The following is a 13576-nucleotide window of genomic DNA, read 5'->3' as shown; positions in this document are numbered from 1 at the left end:
ATATAAGCCCCAGGTCTGGGGAGTAACAGTGCAGAGAGCCACCTGTCCTGTGGCCGCCCAGGGCCACGCTTCCATGTGTAAGTTCCCCAATACATCAACCAATATCCACAAACTGGATTTGTCTGCCTTCTCCTTTGGTTTCTTGGCTCCTTTGGCATTTGGGGTCTACTTTGCATACACGGCCCTTTCATGGAGCAGGGCCTCTTTAAGACAAAGCACACAAGCCGAGTATAGTGGCGCGAGCCTGTAGTCCCAGCTACGTGAGAGGCTGCAGCCGGAGGACCATTTGAGCCCAGGAGTTTGAGTCTAGCCTGGGCAAAATAGTGATACCCATCTCTAAAGAAATACATTTTTTTTTGAGATGGAGTTTTACTCTTGTTGCCCAGGCTGGAGTGCAGTGGCGTGATCTTGGCTCACTGCAACCTCCGCCTCCCAGTTTCAAATGTTTCTCCTGCCTCAGCCTCCCGAGTAGCTGGGATTACAGGCGCCTGCCACCACGCCTGGCTAATTTTTATAATTTTAGTAGAGGCAGGGTTTCTCCATGTTGGTCAGGCTGGTCTCGAACTCCTGACCTCAGGTGATCTGCCCGCCTCGGCCTCCCAAAGTGCTGGGATTATAGGCGTGAGCCACTGTGCCCAGCCTAAAGAAATACATTTAAAAAAAATCTAAAAAAGAAAGCACATACAGCATTATGAATATAAAATTAGATTAAAACAAATGTTTATTTAGAATAGGAAAATAAATTATAATAAAATTACAAATGAAAAGTGGATAAGCAGCACAAAATCTAGAAAACTATCAGAATATTGTTATGAATTCACTGCTTAATACAACTCTGTAATACGTCTTTTCCTGCATTTTTTTCCAGCATACTCTTTGATTGCCTCTTTTTACAACTATTTTGTAATATTTTCTATAGGGATATTAGCAAGATAATTACACTCTTTCTTTAGTGTGGTTTGTTCATTACTGATAATTGAGGGGCATAAAACATTCATCTTCACATACAAACATAACACCGTGCACGAAACTGCTACAGGATTGCAAATGACAAACAGGTGTGCTGATGAATCCAATTGCATGGATTCTTATCCAAAATTAGATATGACAGGGGCAGGGCACTGTGGCTTACTTCTGTAATCCCACCACTTTGGGAGGCCGAGGTGGATGGATCACTTGAGGTCAGGAGTTCCAGACCAGCCTGGCCAACATGGTGAAACCCTGTCTCTACTAAAAGTACAAAAATTAGCCAGGAGTTGCGGCATGCGCCTATAATCCCAGGTACTCGGGAGGCTGAGGCAGGAGAATCGCTTGAATCTGGGAGGCGGAGGTTGCAGTGAGCTGAGATCGTGCCACTGCACTCTAGCCTGGGTGACAGAGCGAGACTCAATCTCAAAAAAAAAAAAAAATTATATATGATGGGCTGGTCATGGTGGTTTACTTCTGTAATCCTAGCACTTTGGAAGGCTGAGTGGAGGATTACTTGAGCACCAGGAGTTCAAGACCAGCTGGGCAACATAGCAAGACCCCATCTCTACAAAAAATACAAAGATTAGCCTGGTATTCTGGCTACTCAGGAGGCTGAGGCAGGATGATCACTTGAGCCCAGGAGGTTGAGGCTGTAGTGAGCTGTGATCGCACCACTGCACTCCAGCCTGGGCAATAGAGTTGAGACCCAGTCTCAAAAAAAGAAAAAAATATATATGATATATCATTACGCCCCTGACAGGAGATATTCTGGTTAGAAGCAGGCATCAGCGCACTCTTACAGTTTTCCACTTCTGATGATTGAAATGATCTCCATAGCCCAGCTTCTGACTCAGTGCACTTTGAACCTAATTTCTTCTGCACTCCCACACGCAATGGTGCTGGAGCTGGAGGACAGGTTCATACTGGGATTTGAAGTTTGACCCTGCACTTACGTGTCTCAATTCTAGGTAAGTAGCAAAATGAGTGTTAGAAGTATTTCTGGAAGTGATACTACTCCAGGACAGGTGGCAGAAACTGTACTACATATGAAAATTACTGCAAACCAGTGGCATACACAAATACTCTCTGGAACCCAAACCACCACATCCACCCTTGATTCAATTCAATTAGTGCCCCTGAAACAGATTCTAAAAGTGCCTGTGGCCACTTCAATGCCCTTCCACCTGAGGGGACACATGTCTGATTGAAATTAGAGGGGAAAGTGGCAGAGGCACGATTATGGTTAAAATCCTTCACTAATGCAAAATAGATGAAACACAGGGCCAGGTGGACACCCTGTCTGGACCTTGCAAGGGGCCTGTGCCTGTGCAGAGTCTGAAGCTGGAGGCTGTCAGCTTCATGGAAATCCCTGCACCCCATTCTTTTCATTCAGTGCAGTCCCTTTCATGTTGCTGGCTTTGAAGGGACTGGGCGGGCTGCCTGGCAGAATATCTCATCTTCTGGGCTTGTCTGGGCTCTCTTGTTCTTTAAGCTCTGGGCACTTCTTACTGCCAAAGAAGCTGGAGCTAAAGGTTTGGTGGATTCACGGTAATGTTCTTAGCTGGAATTCACATTTGTGGTGTTACAGACTTCCTCCTTCATTACAGCCTAAGGCATAGCCTATCTGGTTGATCCACTGTTAGTTAACCCCAGATAACGATTAGGGCCTGATATCTTTGCGGTCATGATTCAGCCCACTACAAGTATGGTTTGCGAGATGGTGTTTTTCCAACTCCACTGTTCCTTCTGAATTTATTAGGCTGTAAATCATGGATTTATTTGGTTCCCATGAAATGCAGCTCCTCCTAGAAAAACAGAATAAAACCTTTCATTCTTTCCCTTGTATGACCAATTTTATAAGCGAGGTGTTAGTTTAGCAGATGCTTCAAAGGTGACAAGTCCCTTTGTTCTGGATCTTTTTTGCATAGTCACCATGGGCTTGTGGATGTCACTGAGTCAATGCATTTCAATCCACTCCAATCACTTTTCTTTATGATGCAGAGACAGACACAACTTTGGCCAGTGGTAGCTTCTTCATGCCACTGTTTTGTCCGGTTGACAAGACCCCATTGGTCCTTGAAAACTTCAGTACTTTTTAGTGTTTTTGATGTTTTGTAATTTATTTTTGTATAATTTTAAACTTAAAGAAAACTTGCAAGAATAGAGAATGAAACTCCTCTATACTCCTTAACTAGACTCAGCAATTATTTGCGTTTTGCCCCATTTGCTTTATCATCTTGCTGAGAGAGAGAGAGAGAGACAGAGGGAGAATAGCATGTAGAGAAGGTATAAATACACGGTAGACATACACCATTTCTTCACAACCTTTTGAGTATGATAGGCCTATTTCAGTATCTATTTTGTAAAAACAAGATATTATATAGAGTATAATTATCAAATTAAGAAATTTCACATTGATATAATTTTTGTAATCCATAGTGCATATTCACATTGTACCAGTTGCCCCCATCATGTCCTTTTTAGCTAATATTAATGACACTGGGCATTCATTCATGTACTTATTGAATATTTGTATATCTTCCTTTGGGAAATGCCTGTTCAAATATGTTTCAAGTTTGTATTGGGCTGTTTTGTTCTTTGGATTGTAGAAATCCTCTACATTTTCTGTCCTTTGTCAGAAGCAAGGTTTTGCTTAATTTGTGGCTCAACAACAAACTGTTGCTGTTTTCTCAACTGCGTCCTTGATGAGAAGTTTGAATATTGTTTGTTTGTTTTAAAAAGACCTTGGTATTCCACTCTGAGTTTCAATTAGGACAGCTGGGAGCGGTGGAGAGTCGGAGTTGGGGGAAGAGCTCAGCCCAGTGGCTGGAAGTCTAGTGCACTTGGTTTTTGTATGGGGAATGCTCGCTTTCCATTTTGCTGGGAAGACGTGCAGATGAGGGCTTCTGTCACCAAAGGCTGAAGCTCTGATGATCTAATTTGGGCAGAGTTTACCCACAGGATTTGAGGCTCCTCCTTGTGGCCTTTTCTGTCCTGGGTGCTCACTTGCTTTTTATCAGCTGCGGCTGCCATGAGCTTAGTCTGCTGGCTCTGCAGACCAGAAAGCCTGCGGTTTTCTGTTTTCCTTTGGTCATTTGTCATGGCTACGACCGCCACCACCACAGCCTTCATGACAGAAGCTCCCTGCTGCCCTCCTTTCTTCCAAGTGTCAACGCCCTTCCAGAATTGGTTTCATCTTATTCACTCTCCGCTGGCATCAGGCAGTTATTTTTTGTAATTTCTCCAGCGTGGACAGCTGCTGTCTGCAGAAGGGTTGGCTCTGGCAGGAGCTGACCAGATATGGAGACTGACTGCAGCATGTGACTGACTCTGGGTAGAGAAAAGTTTCGATCACCAAATGTCTTTATCATAAGCTGAAATATTAAGATATTCATCTTGATCTCAAGATGTGCGTGATTCTTATTTCAGGTATCTTTACCACCTTGGGCTGTTCCCGGCCTTTGCCAGCTCTCTTGAGTCTCCTTGGCGTCAGCATCCTCAGAGCAGGCCCCCGGCCAGTGTAATCGTCCGATGGGCTCTTCCTGTCCACTGCACAGACAAAATCAATTTACCGAGGCCACGGCATTGCAGTAGAGAAGAGGTGTCACTGACACGAGGCTGGCCCACGCAGAAGAACTGGAGTTACTACTCAAATCATTCTCCCCAAAGCCTTGGACACTAGGGTTTTTATGGACAGTTTGGTGGGCAGGAGGCTAGGGAATGGGTGCTGCTTATTGGTTAGGCATGAAATCACAGGGGTGCAGAAAATGGTCCACATGTACTGAGTCTGCATCTGGGTGGGGCCACAAGACCGGTTGAGTCATGAGTCCCAGATCCCCAAAGGGTCAGTCTGGAAAAATAATAATAATTAAAAAAAAAAACACTTAGGTTTTACAATAGTGATGTTATTTATAGAAGCAATTGGGAAAAATCACAAATCCCCATATGGCCCCTGGAAAGAAGGGATTATAGAAACTATGCCTACATTTTTTTTTTTTTTTTTTTTTTTTTTGAGACGGAGTCTCGCTCTGTCGCCTAGGCCGGACTGCGGACTGGAGTGGCGCAATCTCGGCTCACTGCAAGCTCCGCTTCCCGGATTCACGCCATTCTCCTGCCTCAGCCTCCCGAGTAGCTGGGACTACAGGAGCCCGCCACCGCGCCCGGCTTTTTTGTATTTTTAGTAGAGACGGGGTTTCACCTTGTTAGCCAGGATGGTCTCGATCTCCTGACCTCATGATCCACCCACCTCGGCCTCCCAAAGTGCTGGGATTACAGGCGTGAGCCACCGCGCCCGGCCACTATGCCTACATTTTAGCAGAATTCAGGTCCCTCCTACAATCCTATTCTTGTGGCCTTTCATTAGTCTTACAAGGTGGTTTTCAGTTCCTGAGCATGGATGGGGTTAGTTTTAGGAAGGGACTGTTATCATCCTTGCTTTCAAGTTAAACTATAAATTCTCCCCAAAGTTAGCTTGGCCTGTGCCCAGGAATGACCAAGGATGGCGTGGTAGTCAGAAGCAAGATAGAGTCAATGATGTCAGACTTCTCTTACTGTCATAATATACTGCAAAGGCAGTTTCACCGGAGCCTGTCTAGGGGATGTCTAGCACCGCCCTGCATCAATGCCTTCCTGAGAGGGGGTTTTGGGACCTCCACCTTGGAGAAACCCTTCAACTCCACCTGCTCTTCCCCCAGCTGGTATGAGGGCTGGCCCTGACCCTGGATGACTTCTCTGTTCTCCTGCCCTGAGATCGCAGCCTCAGAGGACACTCTTGTTGGGACTGCACACAGCATTTTGTGGTTATGGTGGTGGTTTTGAGTGGGCAAGTAGATAGTGGAGAAAGGGGAGGAACTGTGGTCAGGGCACCATTAATAGAGGGAGGCAGGGAAGGGACAGAAGGTAGAAAAGGGTGCAGAAAGAAAGAAAGGCGGAGGGTGAAGGGAGCTGCTGCTGCTGCTATCTGAAATCATGGTGGAGCCATGGTTCAGGGTTAAGAATAGTTCTGGACAGAAATATCGTTACAATTAAACATTAATCAGGCTACACTTTGACCCACTTCCTTGTAAGGGAAAGTCCCATAGCATGAGATACCAACCATCTGCACCCCACTGTTCCTCTAGACAGGAACTTCCCTGCTGTTAGAATCGTAAGGCTTCTGTTTAAGAATTGCTTAAGCAGATCCTGAATTCCAGCAGAACAGCTGTTGCCAACCGGTTTGAAGATCCCCACAACAGGAACCGAGTCAGCATGAGAACACCATTTTTCCATCTCCCTGTCCACGGCTTCATTCCACTCTCCAACCTATCAACCATCTCCACACTGCAGCCTACGCCAAAACCCTTAAAAACCCTAGCCCCACACTCCTTGGGGAGATACAGTTGAGGTTTCCTGCCATTTCCTCTTCTGGTAGCCCCATGATTAAGCCTCTTTCTCTGCTGCAGCCCAGGGTCTTAGCATATTGATTTGCAGAGTGCATCAGGCAATGGACCTATTACAGGTACAAGGGAATCACACTATGAGAATGCTTTTCTTTCTTTTCTTTTCTTTTTTTTTTTTTTTTTTAAGAGATGGGGTCTCACTCTGTTCCCCAGGCTGGAGTGCAGTGGTGCAATCACAGCCCACTATACCCTCAACCTCTTAATTCAAGAGATCCTGCTACCTTAGTCTCCTGAGTAGTGGGACTATAGGTGAATACCACCAAGCCAGTCTCATTTTTTTTATTTTTTGTAAAGACAGGGTCTTGCTATGTTGCCCAGGGTGGTCTTAAACTCCTGGGCTCAAGCGATCCTCCCGCCTTGGCCTCCCAAAGCGCTGGGATTACAGCCATGAGCCACCAAACCCAGCTGAATACTTTTATTTCTAAACCTAAAGTAGCATGCAGCACTGGAATTCTGGAAGCCCTCAAGCAGGATTACAGACCCCAGGCCCTGCTGGAGCTGGTCAGCCACTACTCTCCTAAGTCACTCTTCCTTAGGGCTGCTGGCCCTGGGGTGGGGAGGGGACCATGCCCTGTGTTTACTGCCTCTGTCCCTGTCCACCGCTGCTGCTCTGTGGTTTACAGAGACAAGCGTCATTGCAGGGCCCACGTCATCGCGCCTTCCCCATCTCCACCTTGCTGCGCTCCTGCCTCACACTCACACGTGGTACCCTCGCCCGACCTGACCCGTACTTCCTGCCCCATGCTCCTCTTTTCCTCAGCCACTTCCTCCCACTTCACCCCGCACAGAGGCCTTCCCTGCCTCTAGACTCTTTAAGGCCTCTCTGGTGTCCTCTTTCCTGGCTCTTTTGTTTTTCTTTATGCTGTTAAACCAGGTTTAGCCTCCGTACATACTTAAGTTCAGCCTAAAGGGTTCTCTGTAAGTCGTGAACACTAACAAGTGGAGGTGTAAGCAGATTGGCCTACACCTGTGCCAATCACTGAGTTTTGGCCAATCAAATGCAGCCAACTGTTCGAACTGTATCCAAATAGGCAAATGCCGAGCTGTAAACAATGCAGCTGCATCCCTACCTCACTTCTGTTTTCCGTACTTCACTCTCCTTTTTCTGTCCATAAATATGCTTCCATCACGTAGCTGGAGTCTCTAAGCCTACCCTGGCTCAGAAGGCTGCCTGATTCGCATCGCAAATCATTCATTGCTCAATTAAACTCCTTTAAATTTAATTTGGCTGAAGTTTTTTTTTTTTTTTTTACCAATGCCATTTACCATAATTAGCAATTCATCCAGTCAATAACTATTTCTGGAAAGCTAAGGGTGTGCCAGGCACTGTGCCTGGGGCTGGGGTAGGCCAGGGATGCCCTCCAAGCATTCGTTATTCGGACCCCGTATTAGAAAGTTGGTAGAGAAGCAAAAGTGGTCAGACTGCCTTGAAAATATTTGCCACAAACGCACCATTTAAAGGCTGCACCCTCACTGAACACCTGCCCTGTTTAGCCTGAGCATCTCTCTGCCTCTAACCATTGTGTCCACGCCCTTGGCAATCAGTTTTTCTGATTGTCAAATTTTCCACAACACAATACAAATATAACACCAATGGATGGCAAAGGGAAATTTTCAATCTTGGAAACGCTGTAAGGTTTCATGGAATTGATTAACATTATGTGGGGGACTACTCAAATTATACACAAAGCTACTGACAAAGGAGGTTCTGGAAAAATGAGACTAAGTAACAATAGGGTATGAGACTGTCAACAACTAGTCCTTTGTTTCCTTACTTAGGGGGATAAAAGAAAAAACAAACAAACAGAAACAAACCAGCCCTGACAAAACAAATAATTTAATTCAAAGGATGATGAAGAGCTCTTGGGAAAATTAAAGGCCATACATATTTTTGTAAAAATGACTCTTTTGCTGAACACATGATGTATTAAGTCAAACATGAAGTTAAAAATGTTGCGTTCTGCTATCATAAAACATAGTCAGAAAATGTATAAGAACTCTACTGCCACCATTAATGTTGACTTACTATTATTTTAAGAATTTGGGCATAGTTGCAATTTTGCCTAATTTACCTTTTCAAAATACAAGGTAAAATGGACCAATGTTCATAATTTTTAATTGATCAAGATAGACTCTAAATCAAACCCTACTTCTCACTATTTACTTTGTATTTTGGTTTAACAGGATATGCTGTGCATGACTTTGTACTGTTTATCTCCTGATAAGGAGAACTTCCTGCTGTGTTAATTTGCATAATTACCTTTGTGCTGACCCTCCCCCTCACTGAAATGTGAGGTCTGTGAAGGCACCATCCTCTCAGTCAGGATCCCAGCAGGAAACAGATGGCCTCTCGCCATAGGAGAGTTCAAGGGCCCTCATGTTGGAACCCTGTGATAAAGGTGGCAAACCGCCTTAAGTCTGGTACCTGGGATTTAGCCATGAGGCAGGATTCTTCCTAGCAGACCTGGGCTTTCCCCACCTAAATATGTCAAGCAGCACTTAGTAGGTCTCTGTCTCATGTCTGGGGTGCCTGTGACCAAGGACCCATTGCCATAGACAATTATGGGTCAAAATACTGTTACCTGCGATCCCTCGCTCCTTGGGGCATTGAGACCTGCCTTGTCTCTGATGGTTAAGAGCCGCCCCTACTCTGGTGCTTAGAGTGGCGCTGCCTCCAGCCCACAGAGGACGGCCCACAGAGCTGGTGAAGGACTCACCAATGCATTTCCTCTCTTCCTCCGGGCCCCTTGGGGAAGAAGCATATTAGGGAAGGTCTGAGTCAGTTGCAAATAGTAGGCACCTTTCTACATTTCTATTTCCTTGAGTCTTTGAGCTCTGTTCTCTAGAGCGTGCCAGGATTTCAAGCTTTTCAATCTCATTAACTTTGTCCAATTAGCCAACCTGGAGGATTATTAACCACTTTCTCAGGGGTTGAGCCAACATATTAAACCCTGAAACCCAGCCTAATCCAGGCTCGCTCTCTTCCATGTGGGGCAGGCACTGTCAGACTCCACCCCACACTTGCTCCCAGGCTCTAGCTGCTACCTGCTAGAGTGGACCTGCAGCTCCATGTTGAGGCAATCTCCTCCCAGGGGGGTCTTGGGCCCTCCTCACCCTGCCTCTGATGGTCTCAACTGTTTTCTGGGACTGGAGGCAATGAGAGGTGTGATGTGGGTCCTGGGGAAGTGGCATCAGCTCAGGAGGCAACTTCCCCAGGTGCAGTCATTGCAAGGCTTTTTAATAGAGGAGTGTTGGGTTCCATGGGGGATGGGAGGTGAAAGGAGGAGAGAGGAGGGGAGAAAGAGAAGGGAGAGCAAAGGGGAGCTGCCTCTGTAGACAACAGGGGTTCAGGGGAATTGGCAGCTCCAAATTTCCAGCCTCTCTTTCTTCTCTGCCCAAATCTCTCCATGTGTCTTTCCCCATGGACACCTTGTATTAGTCTGTTCTTGTACTGCTGTAAAGAACTACCTGAGACTGGGTAATTTATAAAGAAAAGAGGTTTAATTGACTCAGGGATCTGCAGGCTGTATAGGAAGCATGGCTGGGAAGGCCTCAGGAAACTTACAATCATGGCGCAAGGCGACAGGGAAGCAGGCACCTCTTACAAGATCAGGGCAGGAGGAAGAGAGAGAAGGAGGAGGTGCCACACACTTTGAAACCAGATCTCGTGAGAATTCTATCACGAGAAGAGCAAGGTGGAAATCCACCCCCATGATCCAGTCACCTCCCACCAGGCCCCACCTCCAATACTTGGGATTACAATTGAACATGAGATTTGGGTGGGGACATATCACACCCTTTCCTGGTAAGAGATCAGGCAGGGTTGAGCATTTAATCGGAACCTCAGTGCTGCTCCTTATAATCAGGCCCATGCTTGGCCCTTGGCACAGATGTCCTGGGACCAGAGAGATGAGGGATCCCTTCAAAGCTGCCCTGGAAGCCGCTGGGTCTCTGCACCTGTTCTTAATTGTATGCTTGTGGTTTTACATTTCTCCTTTTCCCTGGGCAGGTGCCCTAGGGGGATGGTGACTGTGGCTCTGTGATCTCTAGTTGCCATAGTGACTGAGCACCACACGGACCTCCACGCTCTGCCTGCTGCCTGCACTTCCGCCCGTGCTATCCCTGAAGAGAGTTTCAGGAGCGGCGCCTGCTGTGGTGACTTGTGCCCCATTACTGACCAGCAAGGAAGTGACCTACACTTGCGGGTGACCCAGAGTCCAGTGCTAGGAGGTAACAGCAGCCCATTTGCCATTGTGAGCACCCCTGGGAGTCCCATCAGAATCAGAGGCTCCACACCCCTCCCTCAGTGCATGAACCATCCCTGTGTGGCCTGCTCCTAAGACCTTGACCACATTTCCACCACAGTCCTGTGGAAGCTGGCACACGGTAAGGGTTCCTGGAAGGCAAGTGATAGTCTCTGCAGCTCCCCAGTGAACCCGGGGCACTCCAGCCCTGCCCTCACACCCCACGTCACCTGGGGAAATGATACGGTTTTCGCCCACAGCTGAATCTTTGTAGCGAGAACTTCCTACTCAGAGCTCTTAGTGAGCCCCTGGACAAAACCCAAAATGCTCAGGAGCCATGATCAAGGGTGGGGGCCAGGAGGGAAGTGGAGAACTGGGGCTGCTTTGGGGAGGGGCCACTGCTCGGCAGAGCCTCAGATCACAAGGGGGAATTTCTGTGGATGAAGAGCCTGCAATTTGATTCTTCATCACATTGTAGGAAGAAAAAAAAAAAACACGTGTATACAAATGGCATAGACACACACACATAGATACATATACACACACACATCTGTAGTTATGAAGTCGCAGGATCATCTTCCTGTCATATAGGAGTCTTGCCTTTGAGGAAACCTGACCTGAACACCTGACTGCCAACCTCCCAGGGCCATTCTTTGTATTGGATCTGTAGTGGCATTCCTCCACAAAGCCACTTCCCCAAGAGAAATGATTCTCAGGTTGAGCTGCATCAGAATCACCTGGAGAACCTGTCCAATCACAGATGGCTGGGCCCCATCCCAAATTTCGGATCCACGCCTGAGCATGTGCATTTGCAGCAAGTTTCCAGTGGGGACAGGTGCTGCTAGTCCAGGGGCCACATTTTGAGAACCATCAGCTTTCACGGCTCAGTGTAACAGTCGTCCAGTTCAAAGACTGGTAACTTCCAGGTTACATCAGCGTCACAGTTAGCTAGCTCTGTGATCTCTGCGTGTTGTATAATTTCTTCATTGCAAATCTCACATGTTGCCTTGAGGATTGCATGAGGGAGTGCAGGGAACGAACTTCGTTTGACACCTCCACGTGGGAAGCCCCTACCTGGTAGTTATTGGTGCTGCATGGTTAAATCCACTCAGTTTCATTTTATCCACTTGCAATCCAGAACACAGCTGCTGCGTAAGATAAATTTATTTGAAAACAATTTTCTAGAACTTGGATTTGTAAGAGTATGTAAAACAGAGTGTGGAAGGCCAGGTTTCACTAACGCAGGCCTCCATAACAACTGCTTCAGTACTGACCGAGTAGTTAAGTTAAATATTAAAAGCTAAGAAAAGCCAGTGCCCCTATACAAAGGCTGAAATGTAACAAAAGCCCACCAAGGGTTTTGCCCAGGCCTTTCCTGGGCCTTAACGCATGACAAAATAATGAAAGAATTCTTAACAGGACCCATTTAGGATTAAACAAGTTTTACTGGGGTTAAAAAACTCCCCAGGCTTCCACAAACAAGTTTATTGGAAGTCTGAAGGAACTCCCCAGACCTCCAAGATTTAGCAGAAGTCAAGATAAGGGTAATCACCCCAGCACCTGGACTCATTTAGATAAGTAAATTTACTGAGGCTGCAGAGGAAGGTCTTCAGGACTCAGACATTAGTTACAGATTAAAATAAGTTAATCACTTAAGTCTTCAGATGAATGCACACTTACATGTAGACATAGAGCTTAGAAGGTATACAAGCTCTGGAAAACTTTGTAATTTTGAGTTGGTCTAGTGATAATTTCCAGGCCTTCTCCCTGTAACTGGTTTCAGAAATAAAAACTCTCCTCCTCCCCAGTTCATCTGCATCTCATTATTGGGCCACAAGAAATAGCTGCCCGACACTCAGCCTGGTCCGGGAACAAGAGTACACTGCATTCCCGGATTTTACTGCTTTTTGCAAATACAATAAAAAGGAGTGCCCACAAAATTAGAAACTTTGACAGATTAGAGGCTATATTAATATCATAAAGAGTGTTATAACTAGGTTATATTAGTTTTACCACCACAATAAAAACAACTATTGAAATAGAATGATACACAACTAAACTCTGGGGATTATTTTATTCACTTTTAATATGACCACAGTTTATGGAATGGGGACTATGATCAAACACTGCGTATGGAGTCAGGCTTGGGCAGGAGTGGGGGTGGCTATGTGGAAGGAGCATGGAGTAGTAAACTCATGTTGCATCCCTGCAACGTCATGGCAAGATATGTATGTGAGTAAATAATAATACAGCAGCCAGGTGTGGTGGCTCATGCCTGTAATCCCAGCACTTTGGGAGGCCAAGTTGGGTGGATCAGGAGGTCAGGAGATTGAGACCATCCTGGCTAACATGGTGAAACCCCGTCTCTACTAAAAATACAAAAAATTAGCCGGGTGTGGTGGTGGGTGCCTGTAGTCCCAGCTACTCGGGAGGCTGAGGCAGGAGAATGGTGTGAACCTGGGAGGCGGAGCTTGCAGTAAGCGGAGATCATGCCACTGCACTCCAGCCTGGGCAACAGAGTGAGACTCCATCTTTAATAATAATAATAATAATAATAATAATAATAATACAGCGCAGAATGAAGAGAGGTATGTGGAAGAGGGACTGGAAGGGGGTTGGTGGCTAAGGGACGGAGGAACCAACCTGAGCTCATGTAATTACAACCCTAGACTGCCTGTGCCACTTCGAAATCTGGCTCCTGTGTTGTGCGAACATGGTAAGAGTGTCGCTTTCAACCAACGCCCCAAAATGTAGACAACTCAGAAATTAACAGAATCATCCAAATACCCTAACCATCATAAAGATATATGTAAAGTGCTCTATCAGTTGCCATTGGCTATGGGTTCAGGGAACACTGGCCTCTCTGTGCCTCACCCGGTGGGTGTGACAAGAGCTGGCCCTCCGTGGGGCCCACGGGAAGCCCTT

General features: G+C 46.3%; 4 annotated features.

Moving 5' to 3' along the window:
- Window positions 2171-2260: an enhancer, noted in NCBI's record as "active region_18519". NCBI's record gives its function as "activates an Ori minimal core promoter by ATAC-STARR-seq in GM12878 lymphoblastoid cells {active_cell/tissue: GM12878}" and the evidence as "EXISTENCE:reporter gene assay evidence [ECO:0000049][PMID:35858748]".
- Window positions 2384-3583: an enhancer, noted in NCBI's record as "MED14-independent group 3 enhancer chr21:43887967-43889166 (GRCh37/hg19 assembly coordinates)". NCBI's record gives its function as "activates an origin of replication core promoter dependent on BRD2, BRD4, P300/CBP and CDK7 cofactors, and independent of MED14, by STARR-seq in HCT116 cells {active_cell/tissue: HCT116}" and the evidence as "EXISTENCE:reporter gene assay evidence [ECO:0000049][PMID:35650434]".
- Window positions 4120-4279: an enhancer, noted in NCBI's record as "active region_18518". NCBI's record gives its function as "activates an Ori minimal core promoter by ATAC-STARR-seq in GM12878 lymphoblastoid cells {active_cell/tissue: GM12878}" and the evidence as "EXISTENCE:reporter gene assay evidence [ECO:0000049][PMID:35858748]".
- Window positions 7052-7563: an enhancer, noted in NCBI's record as "H3K27ac-H3K4me1 hESC enhancer chr21:43883987-43884498 (GRCh37/hg19 assembly coordinates)". NCBI's record gives its function as "activates a minimal SCP1, AML or CMV promoter by ChIP-STARR-seq in primed H9 embryonic stem cells {active_cell/tissue: H9 hESC(primed)}" and the evidence as "EXISTENCE:reporter gene assay evidence [ECO:0000049][PMID:30033119]".

This window comes from Homo sapiens, chromosome 21 (genome assembly GCF_000001405.40).
Source record: "Homo sapiens chromosome 21, GRCh38.p14 Primary Assembly".
Classification (NCBI taxonomy): domain Eukaryota; kingdom Metazoa; phylum Chordata; class Mammalia; order Primates; family Hominidae; genus Homo; species Homo sapiens.
This window is presented reverse-complemented; position numbering and strand designations above follow the sequence as displayed.